We start from the raw sequence: 19,146 nt of genomic DNA on the forward strand, positions 1-19,146 counted from the left end.
TCTCATGCCATGGTTTTCAGCTCCATCAGGCCATTTAAGGTCTTCTCTATACAATTTATTGTAGTTTGCCATTTGTGTAACTTTTTTCAAGGTTTTTAGCTTCCTTGTGATGGGTTAGAACATGCTCCTTTAGCTTGGAGAAGTTTGTTATTACCGACCTTCTGAAGCCTACTTCTGTCAACTCCTCAACATCATTCTCCGTCCAGCTTTGTTCCATTGCTGGCGAGGAGCTGTGATCCTTTGGAGGAGAAGAGGTGCTCTAGTTTTTACAATTTTCAGCTTTTCTGCTCTGGTTTCTCCCCATCCTTGTGGTTTTATCTAACTTTAGTCTTTGATGTTGGCGACCTACAGATGGGTTTTTGGTGTGTTATGTCCTTTTGGTTGATGTTGATGCTATTCCTTTCTGTTTGTTAGTTTTCCTTCTAACAGTCAGGTCCCTCAGCTGCAGGTCTGTTGGAATTTGCTGGAGGTCCACTCCAGACCCTGTTTTCCTGGGTATCACCAGCAGAGGCTGCAGAACAGCAAGTATTGCAGAACAGCACATATTGCTGCCTGATCCTTCCTCTGGAAGCTTTGTCCCAGAGGGGCACCCACCTTTATGAGGTGTTTGTCCTCCCCTACTGGGAGGTGTCTCCCAGTTAGGCTACAAGGGGTTCAGGGACCCACTTGACGAGGCAGTCTGTCCATTCTGAGAGCTCAAACAGCATGCTGGGAGACCACTGCTCTGTTCAGAGCTGTCAGACAGGGTCGTTTAAGTCTGCGGAAGTTTCTGCTGCCTTTTGTTCAGTTACGTCCTGCCCATAGAGGTGGAGTCTATAGAGGAGTAGGCCTTGCTGAGCTGTGGTGGGCTCCTCCCAGTTTGAGCTTTCCGGCTACTTTGTTTACCTACTCAAGCCTCAGCAATGGCAGACGCCCCTCCCCCCGCCAGGCTGCAGCCTCGCAGGTCAATCTTAGACTGCTGCACTAGCAGTGAGCAAGGCTCTGTGGGTGTGGGACCCACCAAACTAGGCACGGGAGAGAATCTCCTGCTCTGCCAGTTGCTAAGACCATGGGAAAAGCGTAATATTTGGGTGGGAGTGTCCCTTTTTTCCAGGTACTGTCTGTCACAGCTTCCCTTGGCTAGGAAAGAGAAATCCCCCCAACCCCTTGCACTTCCTGGGTGAGGCAACACCCTGCCCTGCTTTGCCTTGCCCTCTGTGGGCTGCACCCACTGTCAAAACAACTCCAATGAGATGAACCAGGTACCTCAGTTGGAAATGCAGAAATCACCTATCTTCTGCATCGATCACGCTGGCAGCTGCAGACCAGAGCTGTTCCTATTTGGCCATCTTGGAATGGACCCGGCTATTATTATTATTGTTTTTTATTGTACCACTGCACTCCAGCGGTACAATCTTGGCTCACTGCAACCTCCTCCTCCTGGACTCAAGTAATCCTCTCACCTCAGTCTCCCAAGTAGCTGGGACTACAGGTGCATGCCCACCACACCTGGGTAATTTTAGTATTTCTTATAGAAGCTGGGTTTGGCCATGTTGCCCAGGCTGCTCTTGAACTCCTGGGCTCAAGCGATCCACCCACTTCAGCCTTCCAAAGTGTTGGGATTAAAGGCGTGAGCTACCATGCCTGGCCTAGAATGGCTACTATTAAAAAGTAAAAAAATAATATGGTAGGGAGATGGCAGAGAAAGAATGCTTATACACTGCTGGTGGAAATGTAAAGTAGTTCAGCCATTGTGGAAAACAGTGTGGTGATTTTTCAAAGAACTTAAAATAGAATTACCATTCATCCCAGCAATCCCATTATTGGGTATATACCCAAAGGAATGTAAATTATTCTACCATAAAGACACATGCACACATATGTTCATGGCAGCACTATTTACAATAGCAAGGCCATGAAATCAACCTAAATGCCCATCAAATGATAGACTGGATAAAGAAAATGTGGTACACCATGGAATACTATGCAGCCATAAAAAAGAATGAGATCATGTCTTTGCAGCAACATGGATGGAGCTGGGGGCTATTATCCTAAGCAAACTAATGCAGAAACAGAATATCAAATACTGCACGTTACAGAAACTGGGGCCTACTTGAGGAGGGAGGGTGGAAGGAGGGAGAGGATTAAAAAAAACTACCTATTTGGCACTATGCTTATTACCTGGATAATGAAATAATCTGTATACCAAACCCTGGTGACACATAATTTACCTATATAACAAACCTGCCTATGTACCTCTGAACCTAAAATAAATGTTTTTTTAAACAAGATTGTAAAGTGTAGCATGCAGTTATATTGCGATCGAGTTCTAATATTATAGGTATTAAAAACAGAGGAAACACAGAGAGTAAAACTAATTCTGAGAAGACGCTTATAATTATGTGATCTTGGTAAAACTCATGTCTCAGCTTGTTAAGTTAAAAAAAAATGATGTAAAATGCTGGCATTGGACTAAATCCTAATTTCCTTCCTGGGTGTCAGATTTAGCTGACTCTTTCTCCTGCCTGAAGTGCTCTCCTTATACAGCTTGTTCCACTTTTATGATGCTATTCATCCTTGAGCAATTGTGGGATAGATCAGTGTGAAGTGTATCATTTGTTTTTAACCTGCTCTGGTTGTCAGTGGAAACCACAATATAAGGGGTAAAGACACCCAGAATTGAAGTGTGCAATATTATACACAACATTAATATGAAAGCAGTGCCAAAATGGCAAAATGAGGTGGTGAAAAGAGGCGACCACCCAGAATCCTGCAGTACTTAGTGTTAATAGATATTTACAAACTTACTAACTTGAAATTCCTTTAGGCATCATATTCCAGATTGAAGCTGCTGGGAATTCCTACCCTTATTAATTTTTATCTCCTCTACTCTGTCCTCCCTACATTTATAAAAAGCTACTGCTCAAAGGGTTATTTGTTAGTGGTGTCGAGTGTCTCCACCATTGAGGACTCGCCGTATTTAAAGTACTCTACTGGTGTTGAGTAAATATTTGCCAATGTTCTAAATGCCAGGGCCTCTTGACAACTCAACAGGAATGTTGCTTAGGCAGGAATGGGGGAAGGGCAGAATATTTCCTATCCCTGCAGCTGTGCAGCAAATTTTGGAGGACTGGGCTTAATGCCTCCAAAAAAATGTACCGCATTACTACCACCTTGATTGTTGTTACTGTGTTGGTGACCACATCTCCCTCAGGCTGCCTTAAAATATTGTCTTTCATGTTGACACTTTGGAGGAGATCAAGAATTCTCTTCTGCTTTGGATTTCGATAAGTGTTTGAAAAAGGAATCATGAAAACGTAGGTCTGCAAGGGTATGACAAAGCAAGCTGTCGACCTCACAATGAGGGCTCAGCAAGTTGCTTCATGTTTTCTATTCATAGCCTCCTCCTCTCTGTCAGCTCTTTTGAAGTACTCATAAAGCAAAATAGGCTCATTAAATATGAGGGGGTAAATGAAGTTGGCAGTTGCACCTAGTTCAAAAAGCCTTTCCTTTTTAGATGTTTACGCTCCAGAAAAAAACAAAACAAAACAAAAAACTCAGAAGATGAATGCCTGCTATCAGTGGCTATTCATGGCCTCCCTTTTGGGTAAGTGATGTCAGCCAGGCTTTGGAAGATGTGGGTATTTTGTTCCAGATCTAGCACTAAACTGGTCCACAAAATTAATGTCACAATGAAAAGCCAGGAAAGTCTTGTTTACCATTTCATTTACTAAGTTTGCATATAAGGATAAAGACTATTTAGAGTTCCTTTCTAAACAGTAAAGGAAATTTCTTCATCACTCTTCCCACATGGGCAGCGGCTTGTCCTATGTGTACCCTCTTGCTGGCAGGGACAGGCAATGGTTCTGCCCTGTGGATCAGCTCTTCCAACCCTTAGATTCTGTTCTTTGATGAACCTTTTCCTGCACATTTGGCTCCTTTTCTGAACCTACAGCATCTACATTTTAATGAGCTGAAGGGGATGCCAAGATGCATAAGAGATGGTCTTAACCCTCAAGATCTTACTGTCAGTAAATGAGGTAACGTGATGATGTTCACTAAACTGCCATATGCAAATGTGAGGTAACTTGAGCAGATCCTTGAAAGATGGAAAATGTTTCTTTGGTTTCTGGTTGTGGGAAAGGACATCCCAAACCAAGGGTATAGTTTGAGCAAAGGCACAGTGGCTTTTCTAATCAGTGGACACTCTTTTTAGTCCTTATTCTATTTGGCCTGAGTAATATTTGATGCTGTTGTCCACTTGCTTCATCTTGAAGTTATTCTCTTGGCTTCAGACACCACATTCTGCTGTGTTTACTTCCGCTTTTCTGATGGCTCTTGTCAATCTCATCTCCAGGTTTCTATGAGTGTATATATATACTGATGATGCCTTGCCTATGTCTCTAGCCAGGCTGCCCTCTTGAAGTTCAGACCTATATAGCTAACTTTCTGCTGTGCACATTCATATACACAGCTCTTACTTAAATGCCTTAAGTTCTGCATGTTCAAAACCAAACCCATTATCTTTCTCCCCAAATCTGCATCTTCCTCAGTTTCCTATCTTAGTGAATAATGTACACCCAGTTATTCAATTCAGAACCATGGTATAATCTTGACTCCTCCCTCCCCAACACCTTCCATGTAAAGAACCACTAGATCTTTTATATTTTATTTTGTTTTATATCTCTGTATGTGTCCAGGTCTTTCCATCTCTATTGCTACCTTTTTGGGTCAGCTCACCATCATCTTTTGCTTGGATGACTGCAGTAGCCATTTCCCTTCAACTTTCCCTCCAGGTAATTCTTTCTCTACGTTGTAGCCAAAGGAATCTTTCTAAGGCACAAATACGATCATTGTGTTTTCTTTCCTTACAACCCTCTAATATCTTCCCTTTGCTCTAAGGATAGTGTCCAGGTCCCCAATAAGGCTTCTTGTCTTTCTCATTCTGGACCTGCTGACCTCTCTTGCCTCATCTCTTGCCACCACTCCTCAAGCTCCCTGAGCTTCAGACATTTTGAAGTGCACCTGCAGTTCACTCACATACCAGGCAGGTTTTCCTATCTCTCAGACTCCGTGCACGCTCTTCCCTATCTAGCACACTCTTTTCCCTTGCTCTTTCTCTGGTGTTAGCTGGGAAGTCACTGCTTCTACTGTATCCTACTGGCCTGTTTACTTGTCTATATTCATTTAGGCCAATACTCCTTATAGAGTCTGGAACATTCTAGATAATCGGTAGACACTTTTTGGATGAATGAGTGAGTGTTAATGCATGAGATGGCTTAAAGGAATGGCAGATCACCCAGACTGACTGGAGTGGAGGATATACAAAAGACAAGAGTGGAAGATATGAAAGAAAGGTGGTTGGGTGTCTTACACTGGGTTTCCTGAGCACAAACTGTGAGATGAAGATTCCAGTGCAGGCAATTTATTGGGGAGTGCTCTTGGGATTAACTCCTGTGAGAGAGTGAGGGAGTGAGAGGGGCAGGATATGGCAGAAGGTGAAGTTGAACTGAAATGAAATTGCAACAGGGCTGTCAGCTGATCCCATGTGGTAATTAGAAGCTGGCATAACCTCACAAAGTTCTGAATTGAGGCAAGGGGCTGGGGCTGTGTATCTTCACAGCAATCAGTCATTGAATGTGGGCTACCTCTGGGGAGGGGGCGAACTCAGGACAAACTGCTCCTTTGCCAAAGGCGATTTCTGGCAAGGGGTTCAACTATGACCTGGCAGAAGCCAACATTGCTGGTATCTAGGGGAATGATTATCCTGGTAGAGGAGGATCTGGGTGGCATTACCACATCCACTACACTGGGCCCACTTCAGGCCAGATTGAGGAAGTTTTGCTTTATTTGGTAGGCCTTGGGATGCCATTGGAGATGTTTACACAGATAAATCATGTGAGTCAGAGCTGTATTTGAGAAGATTAGTCTAGTTGTATGCTCAGATTGGATTGGAGGTGGTGGATAAACTGCAGATAGAGAGGCCATTGGGAGACTATTGAAATAGTCCAGATGAAGAAATAAAGGCCTGAACAGGGGTGTTGGCAGCAGAAATGGAAAAAGCGGTGGTTGCAAGAGATATGTTAATGCTAAAATTCCCAGGCCCTGGTGACTAATTGAATATGGGGAATATGGAAAAATCAAAGGTGATTTCATAATTTTGAGCCTAGCTGAAATGTATGAATGATGGTTCTGGCAGTAGATATTTAAGAAGGATATAGGTTTGGTGTAGATTTGTTGAATTTGCAGTATGACTGCCACCCAAGTAGAAGTGGCTTACAGGTGGCTGGGCAGTTTCTTGGGAGGGCAAAATACACATACATAAAAAGTTCTATGATGATATGAAGATGTTCATGTAGCAGTATTAGCATCAAATTTGTGTAAAAGAAGTTAATGCTACAAGAGGCCAGAGAAGACAGAAATCACTGTAGCCAAGAAGTGTTCATGGAGGAGGTTGCCTTTGAATGGGGTCTAGGTGCAGGTGTTAGATTTATGATGAGGAAGAAGAGATAGGGAGGGCAGGATGATGACATTCTGAGTGGAGCCAATGGTTTGAGCAGAGACAGAGAGGTAGAAATTCATACTGCATATTTAGAATACCATGAGAAGATCAGTTTGATTGGAACATAGGATTCATTTAAGGAAAGTTTGGTTTAAAAAGTTGAACAATTGATTGCGGAGAAACTTGAATGACAGGCTAAGTGATAGGGAGCATAAAGGAGTTTAGGTGATTTTTTGGTAAAACTTTGCCTCTGTTTCTGAAGTTTGATCCTTTCATCTGCCTGGATGTGGGTCTTCAGAACCCACAGAACTAGAACTCTCCACTCGAGAGACACTTGTGCTTGTGATACAGAAGGCTACTGGTCACTGAGAGTCTTTTTCATGGAGATTGTGTGACGGCACATTGGAGGAAATTCCAGCTGCATGTGTTTCTGAGGCTTTTACATCCACAGTCTTTGCTTAGCTTTCATGAGGCACAAAGAATGTGTGGCCTAATTGGTGAGCTGGTTTACTGGCTCACCCTGAAAAGTAAACATTGTGTATCTGTAAGTGGAAATTCAGTATGTGTAATCTAGCTGCCTAGTCACGCCTGCCCCAAACGCTGTTGAAAACTTTGACCAAGGACTATAAAACTGTCAAGATCTGGGGCCCAAGCTTGCTTTCACACCAAATAATTCATTACTGAAGCTATGGGAAGATAACAGGACATGCATTTGACTTGCTGCTATTCCTTGTTTGCTACAGAAGCATCTGGCAGAGCTAAATGGCTTTGTATTACATCATGTTTCATTTCTTCTTTTTATTTATCATCTATTTTTATTTGTGTGACATGGAAACTTGCCCCACCCACCTCTGAGCACTCTCATTGAATAAAAAATGTATCTTGATATAACTTCAGTGACTTCAAAATGGAATCCTCAGATCGACACTTGGACCATTAAAAAAACAATGTCAACAAAATTTCTTTTGTGTCTTTGAGCAGATGTTTAATTTTATCCTCCTCCCAAGTGGTCATAGGCTGCTATTAGACTTCCTGACTGCCATTTTGTAACATCCAAAGGATCACTTGTTTTGTTTCCTTTGCATAATTTCATCACAGAGTGTTTGAAACGGTTTTTGGGAACAAGAAGAGAATTGCTGTTTAAGGAACTATTTTTTTTTGGAACAGGAAGTAAATGATATATGCTGAAGCCCCCATGGAAGCTTTTGGAATGGCCTGCTAGATTTAGGACCAGAGATGGAGAATATGCAATTCATAATGTACAGCTACTTCTGTTAAGGCAAAGTGGCCCTAACGTGTCTATAGCTTTCCTCACAGGTAATTGCATGCATGGGCTTTCACTCAACAGAAAAAAATGTGCCAAATCTTGAGCAATTAAAAAAAAATGCAAAAATCTGAGCATGTTATTAAGTTGCAACTGATATTCAACAGCTCTACATTAATCTCTAAGAAGCATACAAAGGAGTACTTACTGTTTTATCAATTCTTCAGTCCTACACAATTGAATATATTCTTCAGCCCACATAAATGTTTACTGCATTATAAGGGATTTTTATGTTTAAACTTTATATTTAACAGTGTCCTTTAGATGTTTGGTCTAAAGGAAGTGCATTTCAGTGGTCTAAAAAAGAATCTCACAGGTATGTGTATTGTGTTTTCAATTTAAATTAGACATTGTAACTGCTTAATGCCTTACCTATTCCATTTAGATCCTTCATGAAAACAGACTAATTTTAATAGCTGCCTAGATATTCCTAGTCTTCTTTCTTTCTTTCTTTCTTTCTTTCTTTCTTTCTTTCTTTCTTTCTTTCTTTCCTTTCTTTCTTTCCCTCCTTCTCCTTCCTCTTCCTCTTCCTCTCCTTCTCCTTCTCCTCCTTCTTCGATAGGGTCTCACTCTGTTGCCCAGGCTAGAGTGCAGTGGTACGATCATAGCTCACTGCAGCCTTGAACCGTGGGATCAAGCGATCCTCCTGCCTCAGCCTTTCAAGTAGCTGGGACTAGAGGCACGCACTTCCTAGTGTAAAGTTAGTTTTTTCTTTATTTGCCTTGTCTAGAGATGGGGAAGAAGAGTCATCTCCAGTTTCCATCATGTGATGTTAGGGGTGTTGAGAAGACTTCTGTATTTCGTAAATTAACTTTCATAAATAGTTTTCTATTAGTACAATTACTTTAACAGAGACCAAAGACCTTAATGCAGTTTACTTACTTATGATGTCTTCCAGCCCTACTTTTGGTTTATTGCTGTTAGTCTAAATCACAGAGAGAGGCCCTCTAAAAGAAAATGATATTTATTTGGGAATAGAGCATTGCAATGGGAATTGCACAGTCTTTTTTTAGCTTTGATGAGGCAACCTTTGCTTACATGTGCCATGGTAAACTATGTGCATACTCAGGCGGGTAAAAGGAAGAGAAAACTTTTTAAAGGAAAAATAAGGAAAATTACATAATTGTTTTGAGATAATTATCCTTGGCTACAAGGATCAACAACAATGATGACAGCAGCCCAAAGTTAGACAGGCACTTGCTGGGGAAATGTCCTCGAAGAAGTATTTTTGTGTGTGCAAGTCTGCAGTTTTTGCAAAATCTTTTGTGATAGTTTTTATCATTCATTTATGAATGAGAACTGCCCTCTTCATATTTATTCCTGGCCTTATTTGTCAGGGTTTTTTTTTTTTTTAACACGGGTGACTATATTTTGATTCTAACAACTCTCATATTTTCACCCACTGCTGCCATTTTTTTTTTTTTTTTTTGAGAGAGAGTCTTGCTCTGTCATCTGGGCTGGAAAATCATAGCTCACTGTAGCCTCGAACTCTTGGGCTCAAGTGATTCTCCCACCTCTGCCTCCTGAGTGGCTAGGACTATAGGTGTGTGTCAACACACCTATAGTGTACAGATGGGCTCCTTCCATGTTGCCCAGGCTGGTCTTGAACTCCTGGCCTCAAGCAGTCCTCCTGCCTTGGCCTCCCAAAGTGTTGGGATTTTAAGTGTGAGCACTGCACCTGTCCCATTTCCCACTTTTGATCAAGATCTCTCTCCAAACACATTGTTGATCAATCATCCTGTAGTTAGATTTTGATGGCCCTTTGTGCCAGGATGGGCCTGTCCTGGGTTTCTGGTCTGGTCCCATATTGGAGAGAGTGAATGGCAGCTAGCAGTCAGTGTTAAAACTCTTTTAGCCACATTTGAGCAACAAAGGAGATTTGAAGGGAGAGGCTCTCAGGCTAAGGCTACTTGGAGTTCATTATTAAGTTTAACCTTGTTCTATAGTCTTTTCCCATCATCTCAAAGTACTGGGACAGCATTTAGGAGTTATATTTCTGCAAAAATTTAACAAGTACCAGACGCAAAGTTTACAAAGAGAAGATAGTCTAGTCTATAGGCAGATAACAAGAACTTGGAAACAATGCACAGGGCTACAGTCTAATAACAGGTGTATTGTAGCTTTTCTTTAGAAACATAACTTCTTCTCTTTACATTGATCACATAGAAACTTCAGATTTACAAGCCTCTTGAGGCTAGGCAGCCAAGCTAAGGCAGACTTTAGATTTTATCTACAGTCTTCAGGTTCCTGGGCCTGTCAGAGAGTGACATTTTTAAATGTACTCGCTGTAAGGCTGGGAAGCCAGGTATTCTATGCACATTCTCAAATATGACACTAAAATCTTGGCAATATAACCAATATTTCCAATTGTAACCTGCTATAAAGAGAGAGCAGCTTTTTATTAGAGTTACACAAGTAACCATATTGCCATCAGAATACTTACAAATAGTTTCTGAATTTTGGAAGAATCAAGTAAGGAGCAAAAGCAAATGCTTTCATTCTTGTTCACAAAATTATATTTTACTAAATTGCTGTAAACTATAGATAGCTTAAGACAGAAAATTTCCTTAAATCTGGGAAACAACACATTTATGTATAGAACTAATGTTTCTACTAACAGTAATAAAAACATTATTTTCATTAGTTACTTAATCTTGCATAATTAATTTTTGTTCTGTTTGATCTTCATTAGCAGTTTCATGAATTCTTCAATTTCTTTATTATAGTTCTGAAAATTTTATTTAGTCTGTTGGTCTTAAAGTTATTGGAAACCTGTGTTATCTTAAACATACTGTTAGAATCTTTTTCATGGAAAGCAATTATAGGCCAGTTGTGGTGGCTCATGCCTGTAATCTCAGCACTTTGGGAGGTATAGGTGGGTGGATCACCTGAGGTCAGGAGTTCTAGACCAGCCTGGCCAACATGGTGAAACCCTGTCTCTATGAACAATACAAACATTAGCCAGGGATGGTGGTGGGTGCCTGTAATCCTAGCTACTTGGGAGGCTGAGGCAGGAGAATCACTTGAACCCGGGAGGTGGAGGTTGCAGTGAGCCAAGATTGTGGCTCTGCAGACCACTGCAGCCTGGGTGACAGAGCGAGACTCTGTCTTAAAACAAAACAAAACAAAACAAAAAAAAAAGAAAAGCAATTATAGCTGATTGCAGATGCTTTTAGAGAAAAATCAAAACAATAACTGTGGATGACAAAAACTTAGAATAGTCATGGTTAAAACTGATGAAAGTTCACAATTGGCAGGGAAACTTAGTTATTTCTATTACGTATTTTAAGATAACAACCAGAATCATGACTGAGTTACATCAAGACTTTTATAAATTCCATATAATCTTTAGAGTATTCACATCAACAATATCAACACAAATATAACTTTTACGAAAATTTAACATAACCAAAATTATCACTAACGTATTATATTTCTATGAATTTATATAATTTTCCAAATACTTTTTTCAATAATATACCCATAAATGTAACTGAAAGAGGATATAGAGTCACCTATTATTTGACAATGTTTCCTATATAATTTACCAAATAATACTAATCATTTAATATCTCTACAAGATAAGAGATGTGTCCTTTGAGGCTCTCCAGGGGCTCAACTGGAAAATCCCAAAGTGAATTCTAGATCAAAAAGGCTTGATTTATAATTGTGATCCTGGGTAAGCCTGACAAAAATATTAAAAGGTCAAAAATACCCACTCAAAAGAGGATCACAGGTCATGGTGAAATAAGTCATTTATTTAAACAGTGATAACAAAAGTCTTTGAAAACAGCACAGAAAATTAGGTGTATGCAAAACCTTAACCATTTCAAAGCTCAGTTTTTCTAAGTAATAAAAAACCTAATAAAGAGGACACAGGAAATTATCCTAATGAAATATAAATTCTTTTTTTTTAGGCCAGTTACAAAAAAGGTAAAGAAAAATCCCCTGCAATGTGATTGCTTTTTCTTGTAGGAAGCTTATTTAGATAAACTGGAAGATGAACTTGATTTTTAAAAAAGAGTATTTGAATTTAATCAGACACAGGAAGAAGTATGTCCAAGGTCATAAGTGTACACTTTACTATAGAGGAATGTAAACAAGAAAACTAGTACTTTGAGCAGGGGAATATATGGTTCTTAGTAACAGCACAGGATATTTACTGGTTACACGGAAAATTCAGATACATCAACAAATGCCAAGAGTCCAGAATCAAGTTATACTGGAGCAAAACATTGCTTTTCTGGGCCTTCAAGATAAGCATTTTAGTGTCAGGTGATAACAGAGTTAGAAGTGGGAAAAAAGATGTTCCACCAGCTAATGAAAGGTTGAAGGAGAAAGTTATCATCCTGGGCCTTCTCAAGGGGAGAAAGAGCTGAAGGCAATGATGCATAACCTGTAAACCACGTGCTTAGAGATACAGCAAAAGTTGAACTTCTGAGATATGAATTGGAGAAGCTTATGAGGAAAATTATACCTGAATAAATGAAAGTACCATTCTAAATGAAGAGAACAGCATTCCCAGCCTGAAACTAGGAAAATTAAAAATTGAGCTCAGGAAAGAAATGTGGCAGAAATGGAAACTGTCTGCAGTTTAGAAGATGGCCATAAAAGAAACAGATTTTAGATTTTAAAATCAAAACCTCTTGCAACTTTACTATGAGCAGATCAATACTTTAAGAAAAGTTGTTGTTCTCGGGAGGCTGAGGCAGGAGAATCCCTTGAACCTGGGAGGCGTAGGTTGCAGTGAGCTGAGAACTAACCACTGCACTACAGCCTGGACAGCAGAGTGAGACTCTGTCTCAAAAAAAAAAGTTGTTGTTGTAACACAGAGGACCACAGTTTTAGTTTCGTATTAGTGTATTTTTAATATCAAATGCAACCTTTGGAAAGACATAAATAATTCCTTTCTGATTATAGCCAATTAGATCATATACAAAATTCTTTCATAAATTCATAATCCATCCTTCCTAAACTTTATTATGACCTACTGAGACCTTATGTGACATGTTTAGACTTTCTGCTTTGTCCTGTACTTCCTCTTTCATAAATAACCATTTTACTTTAGGACAAAAATTTATCACACAAGATTCTTCCTCATACAAAAGTGTTCTCTTTTTAAAAAACTTCCTTGCTAAAAATACATCTTAAACTCCATAACTTTCTTCATATCTCTCACTCTTACTTACTGGTTTCTTTATGTCTTGTTTCTGTATTTTGAAACAACCTTTAAATAACCTCTGAATTAGACAAAATTACTTCTTTCTAATAAGAACACATTTTTTAATGACTTTCTTATAACTTTTCTCATCCCATATTTTTTTGGTACACTTTGTATACAGAATTATATATATTAATTAGAATTTTAGCTCTTAGTAATCTTGCATACTTTAAGGTCCTGAGTAATTTTGAACTCTTTGTCACATATCAGTATTTTATAGATGAGAACCATTTTATAATTACAACATAATTTTACGTGTATTAATAAATGCAAATATATTTAGTCTTTCTATAAAAACCCTTATATTTATATTCAGCAATTTTAGGGTTTAAAAAAAATTTTTTTAGACAGTCTTACTCTTATTGCTGAGGTTGGAGAGTAGTGACATGATCATAGCTCACTGCAGCCTCAAAGTCTTGGGTTCAAACAATCCTCTTGCCTCGGTCTCCCATGCAGATGGGACTATAGGCATGTATCACCATGCTCAGGTACTTAAATTTTTTTTCTTTTTTTTGTAGAGATGAAGTCTCACTATGTTGCCCAGGCTGGAGAAATTTATGTTTTAGCTTTGGTTTGCTTTGGAAATTTGATCCCAGACATTTAGTGGATATCTATTGCTTAATTCAATGTAACTTTAAAATCTCAAATTACATGAAAAGTTGATTGATAAACATTTATCTCTTTTACATTATCTAACTTATTTGTTTTTTAAAAATTTACCTAGATTATGTGTGAAAATGGAAATATTAGACAAAGCTAGTCATCATTTAAAGTTATCCCTGTTAACCATTTTTATAGCCTGTTAATATCAGATATTCACCCAACTCAGAACTTTAAAGTTAAATACATTGGTGTTTTGTTGACAACTCAGAAGCTACAGTCATTTTTATTAAGCCAACAATATTAAATTAGTGTTACTTATCAAAAAATTGCACAAGCAAAGATCATTCTCTTTTAGGCTGGGCTTATAATTTTGTAAACTTTGTGTCAAATTTTGATACCTTAAAACTTCTAGCAAGGACAAATATATAAAACCGTCTGATCAGTAAACCCAGGAAAAAAAGTATGCTGACAATTCTGAAGACATTTCTATTTTGATTTTGCCAATAATTTTAAAACCAGCTTATTTATTAAAGATTTGCTTAAGTCACATTAACTAAAATGCATTTGTTAATTAGTATTATTTTATATGAGTGCTCATTTATCTAAGCCAATCTAAGTAGAGTTCCTTAGGGAATTTTTGGCCAACTATGCCCTATTTCACTATGTAGACACAACATATAATACATGTACATATGTATAAACACACATAAACATATATATATGCACATAAATATATCGGTTTCATTTTAGAATTTTAGTAATATGTACAAATTCACTGGTTTGTAAAAGATAGTTGGATCTAACTTATATTTCTGAAAAAAGAAGCTTGTTTACATGGCTAAACTTCATTTGTTCCAATAGATAATGTAATGAAAGTTATGGACTAAAATCCTGACTAAAGCAGTTACCACACCAGTTTGGTTTTAAAAGCTGGCCCTCCAACATTTTTTTAGTTTCAGATGAGTTTAGGGTTAAGTTTTCAATGTTTACATTTTAGCTGAGACTGGCTGAATTGTATAAAAAAACAACATTCTCAAGTAGCCTTGAATCTATTTTTTGTTTGCTAGTCTGTTTTTCTTGACTAATCAATGCAGGTAAATAAGTATTTTAAAAGGGTTTTTTTTCTGCCTTTTTCTTTTTGATTCCTGCATGATAGACAAACGCAATTTTTATGCTAAACAGAGATACCTTATATTATTGCTGTGAGCTCAAGATTTTGACCTGCTTTATCCAAGAGCCTAATTTGTATAAGCATTTATCTAGTTCTTTTTTAGACTGTCAATTCTTCAATTAACTCTTCCATCCCCCAAAAAAATTGTTAGCTAGGCAAACCTAAATTTACATTAAAAGGGATGGATCAGGTGCAGTGGCTCATTTCTGTAATCCCAGCACTTTGGCAGGCTGAGGTGGGAGGATTGCTTGATCCCAGAAGTTCAAGACTAGCCTGGGCAACAAAGTGAGACCTTGTCTCTACCAAAAATAATAAAAAAATTAGCCAGGAACAGTGGCATGGACCTGTAGTCCCAGCTACTCAGGAGATTCAGGTAGGAGGATCCCTTTAGTCCAGGAATTAGAGGTTGCAGTGAGCTATGATATGGCCGCTGCACTCTAGCCTGGGTGACAGAGCCATACCCTGTCTCAAAAAAAAAAAAAAAAAAAAGGTTGGGGGGCGATGACTCTTAGGTCTGGGTTGTTGATTACTATGGAGCTGTAATAGTTTGTAACTGGTTTGAAAGCTATTTAAGACTTGTTTCCCTCTCTCTCTTTGCTGAAATGCCATAAACAGTGAGTTTTATCTCAATACCAGCAAAAACATCAGCATATTCACAGTAGGCAGAAAAAAAGTAGAGTAGACAAGAACTCAGAAGGCTGTACATGTTAACTCTGTAGCTGCAGGGTTTTAAAACCATAATTTGAACATTAATCATTTGAGCTCTCAATTTCTCTCAATGTAATTTGTCCATCAGTTTAAAAATGTGTATGAGAATGAGCAATATATGTAGCCAGCTAGAGTTCCAGAAAACTTGGCATGCCTTAATATTTAGGAATACCATTCTATTTCTTACTAATCTCTCAAGAGCAAATAAAATCCTGTATATTCTGTTAGAGAATGTCAGGAGTTTGGACCAAGATGATGGCAACCAACCTAGTTGCTTTTATTTAGCCATCCTGCATCTACCATTTAGAATGTTTATTTTGCTCTAAGAAGATTTTCAGAAACAGGCAAGGGAAAAGAGACAAATCATTTACAGATGCACGTAACCAAACCAAAGGAAACTAAGATAAGAGTGTTCACAAAAATTTTAACCTAGGTATGTGAATAAAACAAAATATTAAATTAGGCAGACAGGAAGAACCAAGAGTAAATTCAGCAGAAAAGACATGCCTTACAGACAGGGTGTAAATTCTGTAGAAACCAGAGTACTCAAACCAGAAAGACGCTTGTCTTTATACCAGAAAAGACTTGCCCGTCAATACAAAATGTCTTTTATCATCCCAGGATGGATGTAAAGTCATTTATTAAAGCAGCCTTATTCAAATGAGATCCCAAATGATGTTAAGATCTTCTACCAGAAAGAGGGAGGATTTGCCTAAGAGAAGACCATCAGGGCAGAAAAAGTGAGCCATGGAAGCAGAGAGCTCGAAGGGCTCATGTGAGTACTCCATACACATTTCAAGAATCATCTATTCCTTCTAGTAGTAATTTTCCTCCAGGTCCCATTTCTGACACCATTTATATGTCAATCTAAATAAAGAACAGAGAGGGGCTCTCCAAAAGAAAATGATATTTATTTGGGAATAGGGTATCGCAATGGAAACACACATGCCATAATAAACTATGTGCGTATTCAGGAAGTAAAGGAAGACAAATACTTTTAAAAGAAAAATGAGGAGGATTACATAATTGTTTTGAGATAAGTATCCTTGGTTATGAGGATCAATAACAAGGGTGACACCAATGCAAACTGCACAAGCACTTGCTGGGCAAATGACCTTGAAGTATTTTTTTTGTGCAAGTTTGCAGTTTTCACAGTCTTTTGTGATAGTTTTTATTAGGCACTTATGAATGAGATCTCTCTTCATGAACTTCCTTGGCTGTATTTGTGAGGTTTATTATTATTTTTTTTTAACATAAGTGATTCTATCTTGATTCTGACAACTTTCACATCAAAATTTTTAAAAAAGAAACTCAGAAAACATCAATGATCACAAGGAGTTAGCCATTGATCATTAAAGACATGATTAAGACTGCAGGTTATGGAGTCAAACTGACCTGGATTCAAACCTGGCTCCACCCATATCTAGTTTTGTGACTTAGGCAGTTTTTTATTTCTTTGAGACCAAGTATCTTTATCTTTAAAATGGGAAGGAAGTGCTCATGCAATAAAATGAGATAGTATCTGTAAAGCACAGAAAGCCTTTAGCACAGTGTGAGGCCACTACATAATAGGTGCTCAATAAATGTTTGCTATTATCATTACTATTTAAATATCTAGGCATTAGAAATGCCTTTCTTGGAAAATGCCTACTCAGATATTTGGACACTAAACCATTTCTGTATGAAGTTTGAAGGCAAGAAAAAGTGGGCCTTAGATATTTAAGTTAGGCACTAGCCTAAATCTCATCCTAGGAAATTAATGTGAACTGCCCAGCACCTGAATCCTTGCTCCTGAACCTCACTTAACACTTCTGAATTCAATATGCTCCCACAGCTTTTGCCTGTTGGATCTGCTTGTTTGGTGTCTGGTACTTCTTGACTGTTCTATTGTAGCCAATCTCTGTCCTTTCTCCTCGATTCTCCTTAACCATGAGTTTGGCATTTTTACCCCACCTCATCTACCCAAGTGTATCAGTCCGTTCTTGCACTGCTGTGTAGAAATACCTGAGACTGGGTAATGCATAAAGAAAAGAGGTTAAATTGGCTCATGGTTACACAGGCTGTATGGCTTCTGGGGAGGCCTTAGGAAACTTTCAATCATGGTAGAATGCGAAGGGGAAGCAGGCACGTCCTACATGGCTGGAGCAGGATGGGGAAGACAGAAAGTGGGGAGGTGCCACACACTTTTAAACAACCAGATATTGCAATAATTCACTCTGATGACAACACCAAGGGGGATGGTGTTAACCAAGAGAAACTGCCCCCATGATCCAATCACCTCCCACCAGGCCCACCTCCAACATTGGGAATTACAATTCAACATGAGATTTGGGTGGGGACAGAGATCCAAAACGTATCACAAAGACTGACCCTCTGGCCTGAGTTCTGTTTTTTACTTTGCCCTCCCTGCCAGGTCAGAACTGATGGATCTGTCCATGGAATCCATGCATGACACTATGATGTTAAAGTCCTCAGTTAATGGGACTGGTGGATTCCATACTACAACAGTATTGAACAAGCACTCATATGGAAGATTCTGGTAGGGAAGATTTGGGACTGAACCTCCAATTTAGTTTAATGCCCATTTTGCCTGGGAAGCATGCATATGACCCGGCTGTGATTTCCTGTCATATTTTCAATCTCCTATGGCTTCCTTGAATTTCTTTGAATTTTTAAAAAGAACTTTTAAATCTGATCTGAAATTTATTGCAAAATAGTTTCTGACATAGGAAAGTACAGAGAGGGGAATATACTGTTCCTTTAAACCTACCTCAGAAATATAATCCTACCTCAGTACCTTTAATGGCAAAAACTGCAATTACTTTGCACCAACCTAATAACTACAGTTAACATTTGGTTATGCACTCTTCTTTTTTTAAAAATTAAATTATTATTTTTAATTAACACATAACATTTGTACATATTTATGGGGTACAGAGTGATATTTTGATGTATGTGTACAATGTGTAATGATTAAATCAAGCTAATTAGCATATATATATCAGCTCAAACATTTATCATTTCTTTGTGTTGGGAACATTCAAAATCTTCTCTTCTAGCTATCTTCTTTACATATATATATTTATGTAAGTGAGATAGCACTTCCTGCTATTTTCCACTTAACACTGTATTGTAAACGTTCCCCACTCTAAAAATTCTCTTTATAAATATGATTTTAGTCACTGCACAATATTCTACATACAGATGTACCGTAATTTTAACTTAGCCATTTCTCGTTATGTACATTTAAACTGTTTTTGTTTATTTGGTCATTAGAAATAACACCAAGGAAATGATATTTGTGCATACTTTTTTCTTATAAATTAAAAACCCAGTTCTAATTACCCCTCTCATCCCCACTTTTTAAGAATAAAATATTAGTTGTCTTTGTTCCTGCCGTCCTTAGACATGAAGTAAACAACTAGGCTAAGATAGCAGACAACTAAATATCTACTAAATAAATAAATAGTATTGGAAAGGTGATTTGCCCCCATTAAAAATGAATATATGCAAGTGGGGAACTCTAGTTACTTTTGTAAAGAAAAGAGCTATAGGGATAAGGAGAAATAAGTGAAAGTAAACAAATCCGAAAGGTAGAAAACTGTTCTCTGTCCCCATGGAACACTTCCATGACCAGA

The 19,146-nt window shown here is 38.3% G+C and overlaps 1 long non-coding RNA gene across 1 annotated transcript in view, besides 2 other annotated features; it reads left to right on the forward strand.

The window, feature by feature from the left end:
• LOC112268416 (uncharacterized) overlaps positions 1–19,146 on the forward strand; it is a 53,528-nt gene that overhangs the window by 12,187 nt on the left and 22,195 nt on the right. The window lies entirely within an intron of this gene.
• Positions 203–979: an enhancer, noted in NCBI's record as "H3K27ac-H3K4me1 hESC enhancer chr2:56063682-56064458 (GRCh37/hg19 assembly coordinates)". NCBI's record gives its function as "activates a minimal SCP1, AML or CMV promoter by ChIP-STARR-seq in naive H9 embryonic stem cells {active_cell/tissue: H9 hESC(naive)}" and the evidence as "EXISTENCE:reporter gene assay evidence [ECO:0000049][PMID:30033119]".
• Positions 980–1,756: an enhancer, noted in NCBI's record as "H3K27ac-H3K4me1 hESC enhancer chr2:56064459-56065235 (GRCh37/hg19 assembly coordinates)". NCBI's record gives its function as "activates a minimal SCP1, AML or CMV promoter by ChIP-STARR-seq in naive H9 embryonic stem cells {active_cell/tissue: H9 hESC(naive)}" and the evidence as "EXISTENCE:reporter gene assay evidence [ECO:0000049][PMID:30033119]".

This window comes from Homo sapiens, chromosome 2, assembly GCF_000001405.40.
Source record: "Homo sapiens chromosome 2, GRCh38.p14 Primary Assembly".
Classification (NCBI taxonomy): Eukaryota; Metazoa; Chordata; class Mammalia; order Primates; family Hominidae; genus Homo; species Homo sapiens.